The sequence below is a fragment of the Homo sapiens genome, chromosome 22 (assembly GCF_000001405.40).
Source record: "Homo sapiens chromosome 22, GRCh38.p14 Primary Assembly".
Taxonomy (NCBI): Eukaryota; Metazoa; Chordata; class Mammalia; order Primates; family Hominidae; genus Homo; species Homo sapiens.
In genome coordinates, this window is record NC_000022.11 from 24,561,623 (window position 1) to 24,575,216 (window position 13,594).

At 46.4% G+C, this 13,594-nt stretch overlaps 1 protein-coding gene across 3 annotated transcripts in view, besides 1 other annotated feature; it reads left to right on the plus strand.

Moving 5' to 3' along the window:
- Positions 1-13,349, plus strand: part of SNRPD3 (small nuclear ribonucleoprotein D3 polypeptide) — a 19,322-nt gene extending 5,973 nt beyond the window's left edge. For 2 of the 3 annotated variants that reach the window (NM_004175.5, NM_001278656.2), the window contains exons 3-4: positions 6,362-6,554; positions 10,294-13,349. In NM_004175.5, coding sequence (NP_004166.1) covers positions 6,362-6,554; positions 10,294-10,355 — 255 coding nt within the window. In that variant the 3' untranslated portion in view covers positions 10,356-13,349. The remainder of the gene's footprint in view (positions 1-6,361; positions 6,555-10,293) is intronic. The other variant, NR_103819.1, reaches the window with a different exon arrangement.
- Positions 291-792: an enhancer, noted in NCBI's record as "H3K4me1 hESC enhancer chr22:24957881-24958382 (GRCh37/hg19 assembly coordinates)". NCBI's record gives its function as "activates a minimal SCP1, AML or CMV promoter by ChIP-STARR-seq in primed H9 embryonic stem cells {active_cell/tissue: H9 hESC(primed)}" and the evidence as "EXISTENCE:reporter gene assay evidence [ECO:0000049][PMID:30033119]".
- Positions 13,350-13,594: the final 245 nt, after the last annotated feature.

Genomic DNA, 13,594 nt, shown 5'->3' on the forward strand with positions numbered 1-13,594 from the left:
TTCCCAGATCCAGTCATTCTGCCTTTTGGGAATGAGAACATCCTCTTAGCACTTTTCCTTGCTTGTTCAATAACATTTTCTGTTATAAAAGTGGGGTGGGACAAAATGTGGTGGCTACTCCTATAATCCCAACACTTTGAGAGGCTGAGGCAGGAGGATCACTTGAGCCCAGGGGTTCAAGACCAACCTGGGCAACATGACAAGACTTTGTCTGTAAAAAAAATAAAATAGACGGATGTGGTGGCACATGCCTGTAGTCCCAGCCATTCAGGTGGAGGCTGAGTTGGGACGATTACTTGAGCCCAGGAAGTCAAGGCTGCAGTGAGCTATGGAGTGCCACTGCACTCCAGCCTGGGCGACGGAGTGAGACCTAGTCTCACACACACACAAAAGCACACCACAACGATTCGGAAAAGATAAATAGAGGATCTCACTCTGTTGCCCAGGCTAGTCTTGCACTCCTGGACTTAAGCGATCCTCCCACCTTGGCCTCCCAAAGTATTGGAATTACAGGCCTAAGCCACACCTGCCCTGTTTTGGGGTTTTAGTATTTACTTTTTATTCTATCCTCTTTCAGAAATAGTTAGACCCTGTCTCTTCTGAAAAGCAAAAAAGTTTAAAAATTATCTGGATGTGGGGCTGGGCACTGTGGCTCACGCCTGTAATCCCAGCACTTTGGGAGGCTGAGGCGGGCAGATCACGAGGTCAGGAGATTGAGACCAGCCTGGCTAACACGGTGAAACCCTGTCTCTACTAAAAAAAATACAAAAAATTAGCCAGGTGTGGTGGCGGGCGCCTGTAGTCCCAGCTACTCGGGAGGCTGAGGCAGGAGAATGGCGTGAACCCAGGAGGCAGAGCTTGCAATGAGCCAAGATCGCGCCACTGCACTCCAGCCTGGGCGACAGAGCAAGACTCCATCTCCAAAAATAAAAAATATATTATCTGGATGTGATGGCTTATGCCTGTAGTCCCAGCTACTCCATAGGCTGAGGCAAAAAGGATCACTTGAGCCCACCCAGCAGTTCAGGCTGCATTAAGCTCTGGTCGCACCACTGCACTCCAGCCTGGGTGACAGAGCAAGACCCTATCTCTAAAATTAAAAAAATTCTATGGCAGGATAAAAGTAGATGCATAGATCATGGTGCAGGTAAGCTGGGGTAGAATGTAAAATGAAGCCAAGCAGTCAGTATCCAGAAATGTAAACCTGAATCTCTCTGTACATTGAATAAAGGTATATTCCAGTGTAAGATTAAGCAGGGAAGATCATCAGTTCCAAAATGCATAGTGTTCTTAAGTTAAAATAGCAATTGTGTGGATTTCCCTGGCACTCAGATACAGGAGACACTATTAGATGATATCCTCGACAACATCCCCATACAAAATACCCTTTTATGGTCCCTCAAGTAGTTTTAAAGTATCCTGTTATCTTAGCACTGTTTTTGACATTTGAAAATGCAAAATATGGCCAGGCACATTGGCTCATGCCTGTAATCCCAGCACTTTGGGAGGCTGGGCCAGGGGGATCACTTGATCCCAAGAGTTTGGGACCACCCTGGGCAACACAGTGAGACCCTGTCTCATATATGTGTGTGTGTGTGTGTGTGTGTGTGTGTGTGTGTGTATGTGTGTATGTATGTATATATGTATGTATATATATGTGTGTGTGTGTGTATATATATATATATTTTTTTTTTTAAAGGAAGAAGAGGAAATATGTGTATGTGAAACTCAGGATGAGGTCCCTGAAATGGTGCTTATCGGGTCAGAGGGTGTGCATCTGAGGTTAAGCTGGGAAGGCAGGGAGCTTTTGTTCTCCTTCTCATTCCGACAGCTGCAAGCCAAGCACTGGTGGCCAGTGCTGCAGGATAGGGCATCAGCTGCAGGATATGGCATGTTGGTCAAAATGCTGTTGGCATAAGTGAGAAAAATAACAATACTCCAAAATATGTCCCCAGTTTTATAAAAATGGACCCAAATTATAAATGATACAAGCAAATACAGAGAGTAATGGTCAAACCCATTTCACTACATTCAAAATGACTTAATTCTTAGAAGTTTTGGTGGGAGAATGTGGTGTAGAGCTCTGCACAAGCAGACATTGTGCTTTTGGGGCTTCAACATGACCACCCAATCACTGATGGGACTGTTTGAAATCTGTTTTGTTGGCTTTGGCATATAATAGCCATCTTTGGAAAACTGGTCTCTGTATGGAATATGGTCTTGTGTCACTGTATAAAAATGAGAACCCAAAAGAAGCTCTCACATGATTGGGTCAGAAAATTGCCCATAACTATTGCTAGGAAAGTTTTTGAAATCTCTGAATTCAATGTAATTGAATTTCTTTAGACACCTAGCCCTCTAGGTTGAAGGAAAACCAGTTTTTTAAACTTATCGTATACTTTTTTTTTCCTGTACTGTTTGTGTGTGGATTGCATTCATCATGCTCCTCTACCCCATAATACTTTTGTATTTCCTAAGAACAAAGATAGGTAGATGGCCTTAGTTGGTATTCGTATTATAGCAGTGGCATCCAAGCACCTCTGCCTTTGTGTATGTGTGAAATTGTCCTAAAGAATGCATTTCTGGTGTATTGACAGGCCTGAGACACCCCAACACACCTTCACAGTCCTGGAGCTAGCTTTCTCCATCTTGGCCCCAGGTATCTAAGAAAGTCCCACCACTTTGTGCTACAAAGATTCTCTCTCTCCCCCTCAGGATGTCATTTCAGTTGGGTACCTGGCTTATACCATATGTGTTTCATTGTGGCTGTTGAGGAAAGTTGATTAAACTGGGTGTTCCTGCCTGGAGTTGATTAGGATCTGGTTCACTCAAAAGTTGCTGCCTTGGGCTTGTGATACAAACACAGGTCAGGCTTATTAGCAAGCTCTAGCAGGCATGTGTGCAGTGAGACTGTGGGGTTTTGTCCACAGCAAGCTGTTCTTAGCCAGTGCTACAGGGAAAGCGAGAGCAGTAGTGAGCCTGGTTGTTAGGGTTAAAATAGGAGTCAGAGGACACTGGACTCTCCTGCTTCAGCCAGGACATAGTTCATTTATGGAAATGCCTAGATTAAGTCTTGTCGGACTTATGCAACAGCTTCTGTCAGGAAAGGAGTGAGATGTGCCCCTGTGCTGGAGGGAGTGTGGCTTAGCAGTGGCACAGCTCCCAAAACACATTTTAGCTGTCAATCAGATTTAGCATGTACTGAGTCTCTATTATGTATTAGGCAATAGAGACAGCATTTAGACATACTTTGCCTTGTTCATTTTTTTTTTTTTTTTTTTGACAGGGTCTTACTCTGTTGCCCAGGCTGGAATGCAGTGTCATAATCATAGCTCACTGCAGCCTTGAACTCCTGGGCTCCAGCCATCCTCCCACCTCAGCCTCCCAAGTAGCTGGGACCACAGGCATGCACCACCACACCTGGCTAATTGTTAAAAATTTTTGTAGAGATAGGATCTTGTTACATTTCCCAGGCTGGTCTCAAACTCCTGACCTCAAGCAGTCCTCCCACCTTGGCCTCCCAAAGTGCTGGGATTACAGACATGAACCACTGTACCTGGCCTGATTTGCTTTTTAACAATTTCAGGAAATGTGCAGTGGTTAAGAGTGTGAGTTAGAAAGAACTGGGTTCAAACTCCAGCCAGGCCATGTAAGCGTGGTGTGACCTCAAGCAGGAGAATAGAGGGAAAGGGCATGGGTTTCTGGGGACAGATCTGCCTCTGAATGGCTATGTCACTTCATCTCTTTACCTTGTAGGATTTTGTGGGGTAACATGAGCTGCCGTGGGGAAATCACCTGGGCCAGCACTTGATGTCTAATAAGTGCTCAGTAACTGTTGGCTTTGTTGTCTTGTATTTTCAAAACTCAGCTTTGTAGTTGAGGGAACGGAGGCTCAGGGAAGCCTGGAGATATACCTAGGGTTACACTTCTGACAAATGGCAGAGCTGGATCTCACCTATAGGTCTTTAGGCCTATTTTGTGTCTTCTACAGAGTCATGAGTGTGGCACAGTCCCCAAAACACGTTTTTTGTTTGTTTGGTTTGTTTTTTGTTTTTTGAGACGGCGTCTTGCTCTGTTGCCCAGGCTGGAATACAGTGGCGTGATTTTGGCTCACTGCAACCTCTACCTCCCGGGTTCAAGTGATTCTCCTGCCTCAGCCTCCCGAGTAGGTGGGACTACAGGCACCTGCCACCACACCCGGCTAATTTTTGTATTTTTAGTAGAGCCAGGGTTTCACCGTGTTTGCCAGACTGGTCTCAGGTGATCCACCCACCTCGGCCTCCCAAAGTGCTGGGATTACAGGCATGAGCCACCGCGCCCAGCCCCAAAACACATTTTAATTGTCAGTCAGATTCAGGTGAGCCTGAGTTGTATCCAGTTTCTGTCTTGGGTAGTCTGACCATAAACCTGGCGTTCATTTGTGGCACTAGAGGTTATGGTATTCTTCAGGGGAAGAAAAGGATTGGTAAGGACTTGGGAACTGGATGAAAATTTAATAACAGGCTGGGAGTGAGGAGCCTGGAGCAGAAGGTTTATGAGAAACTGGAGCCCTGTTGCCCCTGAAGGTAGAACAGGGATAGTGGGTAGAAGCTCTAGAAACCATTCCTCTAGAAACTGCTCATATACAACAGGGGCGGCCCCAGAGCATAGTTTTGTTTGTTTTATTTTTGAGAGGATCTTGCTCTGTGGCCCAGGCTAGGGTGCAGTGGCTCCATCACAGCTCCCTGCAGCCTCGACCTCCCAGAACCAAGTGATCCTTTCACCTCAGCTTCCCGAGTAGCTGGACTACAGGCACATGCCACCACACCCAGCTAATTTTTGTAGAGATGAGGTCTCACTGTGTTGCCCAGGCTGGTCTCAAACTCCTGGGCTCAAGTGATCCTCCCACCTTGACCTCCCAAAGTGTTGATATTACAGACATGAGCCACCACACCTGGCCCATAGTTGTTCTTTTCTGAGTGTTCAAGCAGAGGCTGGGTGGCCAGTTAGCACTTGAGGAAAAGAATGAATGAGTATAAGATGGCAGCTAGCCAGACAGAAATCTGCAGAGACAGCACATCTTTCTACAATAAGGGCTGACCCATTCTAAATAAATTATAGTTCTCTCTCTTCAGAAGGTTCATACAATAAGCTGCTTTTTCTGTAAATGTGGTGCTTGTTGAGGTTGATGCTGGCAGATTGGTATCACCCTCCCATGCCAAGCTGGTCTCACCTTCAGGCTCCCCATTTGTCCATCCTGCAGTCTATCCTTGTTGCCACATTTATCTTTCCTGAGTGCTGCCTTAACCCTATTGATCTTTCCTCTATCGACAAACTTGACTGACTCCTTTATCTGAAGTAACGACCCCGTCCAGTGTCATTATTCGACTGCTCTGGTCCTCACATCCTGTAGGCTCCTGCCCAAGTGCCTGCTCTTTTCCTTGTGCAAGCTCTTGCCTCATAACCCTCCAGTAATTTCAGGCCCTTTTTACAGGCCTTGTGGTACCACCTCCATTTCTCAGTCCCTAGTCACTCAACCTAGAGGGTTCTGTCTCACCTTCTAGAGTATGCACTCTGGAGGGTCAGAACCACATCTGGTATATACTTGTGACCTTCATGGTGCCTTTGAAATCTGAGTGCCAGGCAGTGCAGGGGAAGACAGTTTGGACCAGCAGTTTGAAGCTGTTTTCGTTAGGGTTTAGCACCTTCAAGAGCTCTTCACATCTTTGCTCAGCAGGCAGTGCAGCACAGCCAGGGCTCTGAAGCTAGGCCAGCTGGTTCGAATCTGGAGTTCCCTGCATTCCAGCTGTTTGACCTGGGATAACTGCTTTGGTTTTTTTAACATGTAAAGATGGGAGCACTCGGCTGGGCGCAGTGGCTCACACCTGTAATCCCAACACTTTGGGAGGCTGAAGCGGGCAGATCACCTGAGGTCAGGAGTTCGAGACCAGCCTGTCCAACCTGGTGAAACCCCACCTCTACTAAAAATACAAAATTAGCCGGGCATGGTGGCGCATGCCTGTAATCCCAGCTACTCAGGAGGCTGAGGCAGGAGAATCGCTTGAACCCGGGAGGCAGAGGTCACGGTTAGCCGAGATTGCACCATTGCACTTCAGCCTGGGCAACAAGAGTGAAACTCCATCTCAAAAAAAAAAGGGGGGGAGCACTCATACCCACGCTGAAGGTGTTGTGAGGACTGTTTAGGTAAAGTGCTCAGTGCAGTCCCTGGTGTACACAGTTAGTACCGATGATTGCTGGGTAATTCACCAGCTTTGTCACAATGTCAGTCTGCTTTTCTGGACTTCCCCCTCCCACCAGTCAAGGCCCTCCCCACCGCTGGTGCTGTTGACCGTTAACTTATTAGCTGGTGATTTCCTTCCAGATGTCCAACATCACAGTCACATACAGAGATGGCCGAGTGGCACAGCTGGAGCAGGTATACATCCGTGGCAGCAAAATCCGCTTTCTGATTTTGCCTGACATGCTGAAGAACGCACCCATGTTAAAGAGCATGAAAAATAAAAACCAAGGCTCAGGGGCTGGCCGAGGAAAAGCTGCTATTCTCAAGGCCCAAGGTAGGTGCTTTTCATGCACAGGTTTTAAAATATAGGTTTGTCTTGTGTCTTGTAGAAAGGGGCCCTATTACTGCCTGGAGACAGAGAGGGTTTGACCTCTGCTCTCTCCACACCCACCACCCACTGCCACCCCTTCCCCTTGCAGCGTGGAGTGATCCTGTGAGGCCATTATTTTATTTTTTTGAGACAGAGTCTCGCTTTGTCACCCAGGCTGGAGTGCGATGGTGTGATCTCAGCTCACTGCAACCTCTGCCTCCCAGGTTCAAGCAATTCTCCTGCCTCAGCCTTTCAAGTAGCTGAGATTACAGTGCGCACTGCCCTGCCTAGCTAATTTTTTTATTTTTAATTTATTTTTATTTTTATTTTATTTTTAATTTTTTTTAATTTTTTTATTTTTTTGAGATGGAGTCTCGCTCTGTCGCCCAGGCTGGAGTGCAGTGGCGTGATCTCGGCTCACTGCAACCTCCGCCTCCCGGGTTCAAGCAGTTCTCTGCCTCAGACTCCTAAGTAGCTGGGATTACAGGCACCCGCCACTGCGCCGGGCTACTTTTTGTATTTTTAGTAGAAACGGGGTTTCACCACCTTGGCTAGGCTGGTCTTGAACTCATGACCTTGTGATCCACCTGCCTCAGCCTCCCAAAGTGCTGGGATTACAGGCGTGAGCCACTGCGCCCGGCTTATTTTTATTTTATTTATTTATTTTTGTATTTTTAGTAGAGATGGGATTTCACCATGTTGGTCAGGCTGGTCTTGAAGTCCTGACCTCACATGATCCACCTGCCTCGGCCCCCTGAAATGCTGGGATTACCAGTGTGAGCCACCGCACCTGGAGAGGCCCATCTTTTCTAGAAGTTCTGTGTGAGAGGTGTGGGATCGCTTGCCCTTGTCTAGTTTGCCGAGCAGACACAGCCCGGAGCAGATGAGCTGACTCGAGTGTGAGGGCAGCATTTCCTAGCGAGACTGGGTCTTATGGATGGACACCAGCATGTACTTAGGGAGGTCTGATAGTGGAGCTCCGTTTTCAGAAATAAAGCCACCTTTTAGTACATTCCAAAAGTGGGACTGTCCTTTTCGCAGTCCCCTAGTCTGGTCTTGCTTCTTGGTTAGCCTAATTTGGTTTTATATTTAGGTTCATGAAAGTTCTGTCATGTTGATTAGACAACAAAGTAATTGTGGCCCTTGGAAACTGTCTTAGTGTTGGTAAAAAAGGTTTGCAGCCAAGGAAGGCACTGGATTCTTCATTGGTATCTTTAGCTGCTGTACATGTTTTATATGTGTGTGAGGAAAAAAGTCAAACTGTGTTTTTCCTCTGCTCTCACAACACAACAATCAACAAAGACTTCTGTGACCAAGCAAGCAGTCAGTTCTGCAGTAGACACCAGCTGGGTGTCCTTCAGTTCTGACACTATCTACCTGGAGATAGCCTGAAAAACCACAGGTTGAGGGCTCGGTCCCACAAGACAGCCCCTGCACCCCCCACTATTATTCATAAGCACAGGCCTCCAGAACATCTGAATGGCTTCAAGCCAGGGTTCTCACGTCTCACTCCTTGGGTTCGATTAATTTGCTGGAGTAGCTCACACAACTCGGGAATCACATACTTAAATTTACTGGTTTATAACAGGATATTTTATAGGCTACAAATAAACAGCCACATGAAGAGATGCATAGGGTGAGATCTGGAAGGGTCGCAAGCACAAGAGCTTCTAGCCCCATGGAGTTTCCTCCCGGCACATGGATGAGTTCTTGTTCACCTTCCTGTCAGGCTGCGCATGATCAGCTGTCCCGAAGCTCCCCTAACCCTGCCCTCTTGGGCCTTTTATGGAGACTTTATTGGATAGTCATGATTAAAGGATGGACAACCATGTGGAAATGCCATTAGACAAAATGGGTGTGATCTAACACTAATAGACGGGGTTGGGAAACCCCGCGAGGCCTGTCCAGATTCTTTTTGGCCTCTCTCTGCAGCATTTGTTCCTCCAGGGTATAGGGCAGGACCTTTCTCTGGAGTGAGGTCTTATGACCCACAATCAGATTAGGGTCCTGCCTTGGGCAGGTGAAAGGAGGGCAGGAGAAGTTTCAAGAGAGAGATTCTGTCTCCTGAGTCCTGCTTCTGAGGCCTAAAGTGCCCCAATGTTATAACAAAAGACTATAACAAGGACTATAGGAGTTACGAGCTGGGAACCATAGATGAAAGCTCAAGTTTAAAGATGTAATAGTGTGAGGGGCCGGGCGCAGTGGCCCATGCCTGTAATCCTAGCACTTTGGGAGGCCGAGGTGGGCAGATCACGAGGTCAGGAGTTCGAGACCAGCCTGGCCAACACAGTGAAACCCCGTCTCTACTAAAAATACAAAAATTAGCTGGGCATGGTGGCAGGTCCCTGTAGTCCCAGCTACTCGGGAGGCTGAGGCAGGAGAATCGCTTGAACCCAGGAGGTGGAGGTTGCAGTGAGCCGAAATCGTGCCACTGCACTCCAGCCTAGGTGACAGAGCTAGACTCCATCTCAAAAAAAAAGAATATTTTATTTGTTCTTCAAAGCCTGTCTTCTCCTAGAACCCCTGGGTTACAGAGGAGAACAGCAGTCTTATCATGCTATTTATATGGAGTGTGTTTTCTTTTTGCTACTATGAAATAATTCTTTTTTTTTTTTTTTTTTTTTGGAGACTGAGTCTCCATCACCCAGGCTGCAGTGCGGTGGCTTGATCTCAGCTCACTGCCACCTCCTCCAACTCCCAGGTTCAAGTGATTCTCTTGCCTCAGCCTCCCAAGTAACTGGGATTACAGGCGCATACCACCACGTGCAGCTAATTTTTGTGTGTTCAGTAGAGAAGGGGTTTTGCCATGTTGGCCAGTCTGGTCTCAAACTTATGACCTCAAGTGATCTGCCTGCCTTGGACTCGCAAAGCCCTGGGGTTACAGACATGAGCCACTGCACCCAGCCTGAAATAATTATTTTCTCAGAAAAAAATACAAAAGATAATATAACCCTTCTCCCAGATCTAACACATGTTAACACTTAACTATATTTGTTTCAGAATTGAAAAAATTAATTCAGTGCATCTATAATGTTTTTCAGCTCACCCAAGGCCAGCCCCAAGGATTTGTCTTTTCTGTAGCTCTCAGACCACCTTCTTTGCCCTCAGCATGCTGCCTCCCAGCCTCTTGTAGAGAGCAGTGTGGGACTGGAAGGCAAGAGTGTGCTGCTAGCTCCTGCTTTGATGCCAGTCCCCAGCCCCTGCCCCTCCGTCTCCATCCCCCCTGTTAAATGCAGTGGCTGTCAGCTGGACGTGTTGGCTTATGCTTGTAATCCTGACACTTTGGGAGGCCGAGGTGGGTGGATCACCTGAGGTCAGGAGTTTAAGACCAGCCTGGCCAACATGGTGAAACCCTGTCTCTACTAAAAATACAGGAAATTAGCCGGGCGTTGTGGTTCACGGCTGTAGTCCCAGCTACTCAAGTAGGAGGCTGAGACATGAGAATCGCCTAATCCCAGGAGGTGGAGATTGCAGTGAGCCGAGATCATGCCACTGCACTCCAGCCTGGGTGACAGAGTGGGACTCCGTCTCAAAAAATAAAAAAAAAAAAAGGCGGGAGGTGGAAATGCAATGGCCAGGGTGGTGTTGGACCAGGTAACCCTTCAGAACCCTTCTAACTGGTGTCCTAGGGCCCTGGCTACTCTGTGCTATGAGCATTCACCGACCACACTGACCTGGCCTCATATTTTCTCTTCCCTTTCAGTGGCCGCAAGAGGAAGAGGACGTGGAATGGGACGTGGAAACATCTTTCAAAAGCGAAGATAATTTTCTAAGTTGAACAGAACTTTGTCCTTTTTTCTTTCAGGTTATCTGAGTTCATTGGAGTGGGTGCTTGTGCATATATGCTAGGTATCTTTTGCCATCTTTCTCTTTAGATCAGGGGAAATGTTTAAGCTAAATAAATCTGGGGGGTTTTTTGTTCTGTTTTGTTTTGTTTTCTTTGAGAAAATAAGGACTTTGTGTTCATTTGAAGTTTGCTTTGGCTAAATTTTGACACCCTGGGGGATGTCCTGGGAGAATGCCAGTACTTTGAAATAGCACAGCTATTGATGAGATTTTAAGCTGCTGTTCCTGGCCAGTTGCAGGTTAAGCCCCAGAAAAGTTCACCTTGGAGAAGCTCCGAGAACACACAGATTGTGTCTCATTCATCTTCAGACACAGGCACATAGTGTGGCACTTTGTTCAGTTAACATTTGTGGAGCTGTCATCAGCTCAGCTTTAACAACACAGGTGACTCTTTCCCTTGATAAAGTCATAGGTAATTCAGGGGCTGGGTGCGGCGGCTCACGCATGTAATCCCAGCACTTTGGGAGGCCAAGGCGGGCGGATCACGAGGTCAGGAGTTCGAGACCAGCCTGGCCAATATGGTGAAACCTCGTGTGTACTAAAAATAAAAAAATTAGCCGGGTGCGGTGGCATGTACCTGTAGTCCCAGCTACTCGGGAGGCTGAGGCAGAAGATTCGCTTGAACCCAGGAGGTGGACATTGCAGTGAGCAGAGATCATGCCACTGTACTCCAGCTTGGGTGACAGAGCGAGACTGCACCTCAAAAAAAAAAAAGTAATTCAGGGGATCCTAGTGGCCAGCTTCCTTGGCTCGTATACTGGCTACAACAAGTAGTTTTGTGGTGATTTGTGGAAACAGATTCTTGGGAGCATATCAGAGCATCTCAGCATTGATTGGCACATCCATAGTTGTTAATGTAGGAAGGGTGACCAGCAGCTCAGCACAGTGGCTTGCTTCCAGCACTCTGGGAGGCTGAGGTAGAGGATTGTTTGAGAGGAGTTCAAAACCAGCCCGCGAGACATAGTGAGACCCTGTCTCTACAAAAAATTCTAAAAATTAACTTGGCATGGTGGTGCACACCTGTAGTCCTCGCTACTAGGGAGGCTGAGGTGGGAGGATCACTTGAGCCTGGGAGTATGAGGCTGCAGTGAGCTATGACCTTGCCACTGTACTCCAGCCTGGGCAAAAGAGCAAGACTTTGTCTTTAAAGAAAAATAAGTAGTAGTAAAGAGTATAAGATACACAGGGTGAATAATTGTGACAAAAACACAGAAACTGGAAAAGCAGCCTGAAAAAATCAAATCACCAAAAAGAGGTCTTGCCAGGTATTCATTATGGTATGAGCTACAGCATAAGCCATCAAGAGGAAAACTGATCAATTATTGGCTTTTAGAATATTGCTCATTGAACAGATTATTCAAGTAATGAAAGAGGAGGGGAAAAAAATCCAGCACATTAGTTAACCTGGCATCAATTAATGAGGTTCTAATAAGCTTTGTCTTATGATACTACCTGGAGGTTACAGAGCTGGTATTCTGAGGAATAAGCATCAGTGAGTTGGTCAGATACAATAGACGTTTAAAATAGGGCTTCAGGCCAAACATGGTGCCCCACGCCTATAATGCCAGCACTTTGGGAGGTCGAGGCGGGAGGATCACTTGAACCTAGGAGTTTGAGACTAGCCTGGGCTGTTAAGCTTTGTTAACCAAGACCGCATCTCTACAAAAAATTGAAAAGTAGCTGGGCACAGCTGATGCCTGCAGTCCCAGCTATCCTGGAGGTTGAGGCAGGACGACCACATGAGCCCAGGAGATTAAGGCTGCAGTGAGCTATAATTGCACCACTGCACTCCAGCCTGGATGACAGTGAGACCCTGTCTCTTAAATAAAAAACAAATGAAAGCAGTGGTTTTCAACATCAACTAAGGATCTTATTAGAAATGAAGACTGCAAGCCGCACACCTGGAGTGGGGCCCAGGAATCTGCATTTTAAACAATTCCCTGGTCCCCAGATAAGTAATTCTTAAGTATTCTATCTTAAGTAGACCTAAAGCCGTATTTTGACCCTGTACTAGTATGTTATTTTAGTATAATCATTACTGAATTCATCATACTTTTACAGTAAACAGTACTTACTTTGAATAATAACACATTACACTTAATAGTAGTGAACTGCATCCTCGATATCAAAAGCGACTTTTGATGTAGTTCACTCTGGACCCGTACAGGAACACCAGCCTTGCAGATTCTCCACGCAATGGAAACTGGCTATAACCCTACCTAGATCTGAAAAGTGAAGGGGGATCAACCTAAAATATGTAGCTTTGTAAACAGTTTTATATCCTGCATCTTAGGGGGGAAAATCAGTTGACGCAGATTGAAAACAAGTTGTTCCATAAGGTTTATTATGAAAAACAGTAGCCCTCCTACCCTGCCTTTACCCCACTTTCCTTGCCTCACAGTAGTCTGTCCAACTCTTGGCTGATTTGTTTGTATTTACCTCCATGTCTCAATATGAACATGTTTTCATGACTATTCCTTGATGGTTTTTTGTTTGCTTGTTTTAAGACGGTCTCACTCTTCCCCAGGCGGGAGTGCAATGGCACAATCATGGCTCACTGCAGCCTCAACCTTCTCGGGCTCAGGTGATTCTCCCACCTCAGCCTCCTGAGTAGCTAGAAATACTGGTGCACACCACCATGCCTAGCTAATTTTTGTATTTTTTGTAGAGACAGGGTTTTGCCATGTTGCCCAAGCTGGTCTTGAACTCCGGGGCTCAAGTGATCTGCCCGCCTCGGCCTGCTGGGATTATAGGTGTGAGCCACTGCACCCGGCCACCATTATCTTTTGAATCCTCTCTTCCTCCTGCCCACCATGAATTTACTTCCTCTCACCCATCTCCCTGATATTGTAATTCTGGTTAGATCATATTCAGTGTCAAATTATTAAGATGTGATTAAACTTTTTAAAAATATGACAGTGTCATAGTGATCACAGCTGAGTCATACAATAGACTAGATTACTGTGGAACTTTTCCCTGAAAGTAATCCTCTTGCATTTTTATTTGCTTGGTTTTCTATTTGTCACTAATTCAACCCCAATCATATCTGAAGATCATGACATCATTTATCAGTTATTATTCTTGACCCACCCCAATCTGGACTGGTTTCTCCCCGTGCTTGGTGTGTCACTGTCACCCTGGGCACTCCCCACACTGCT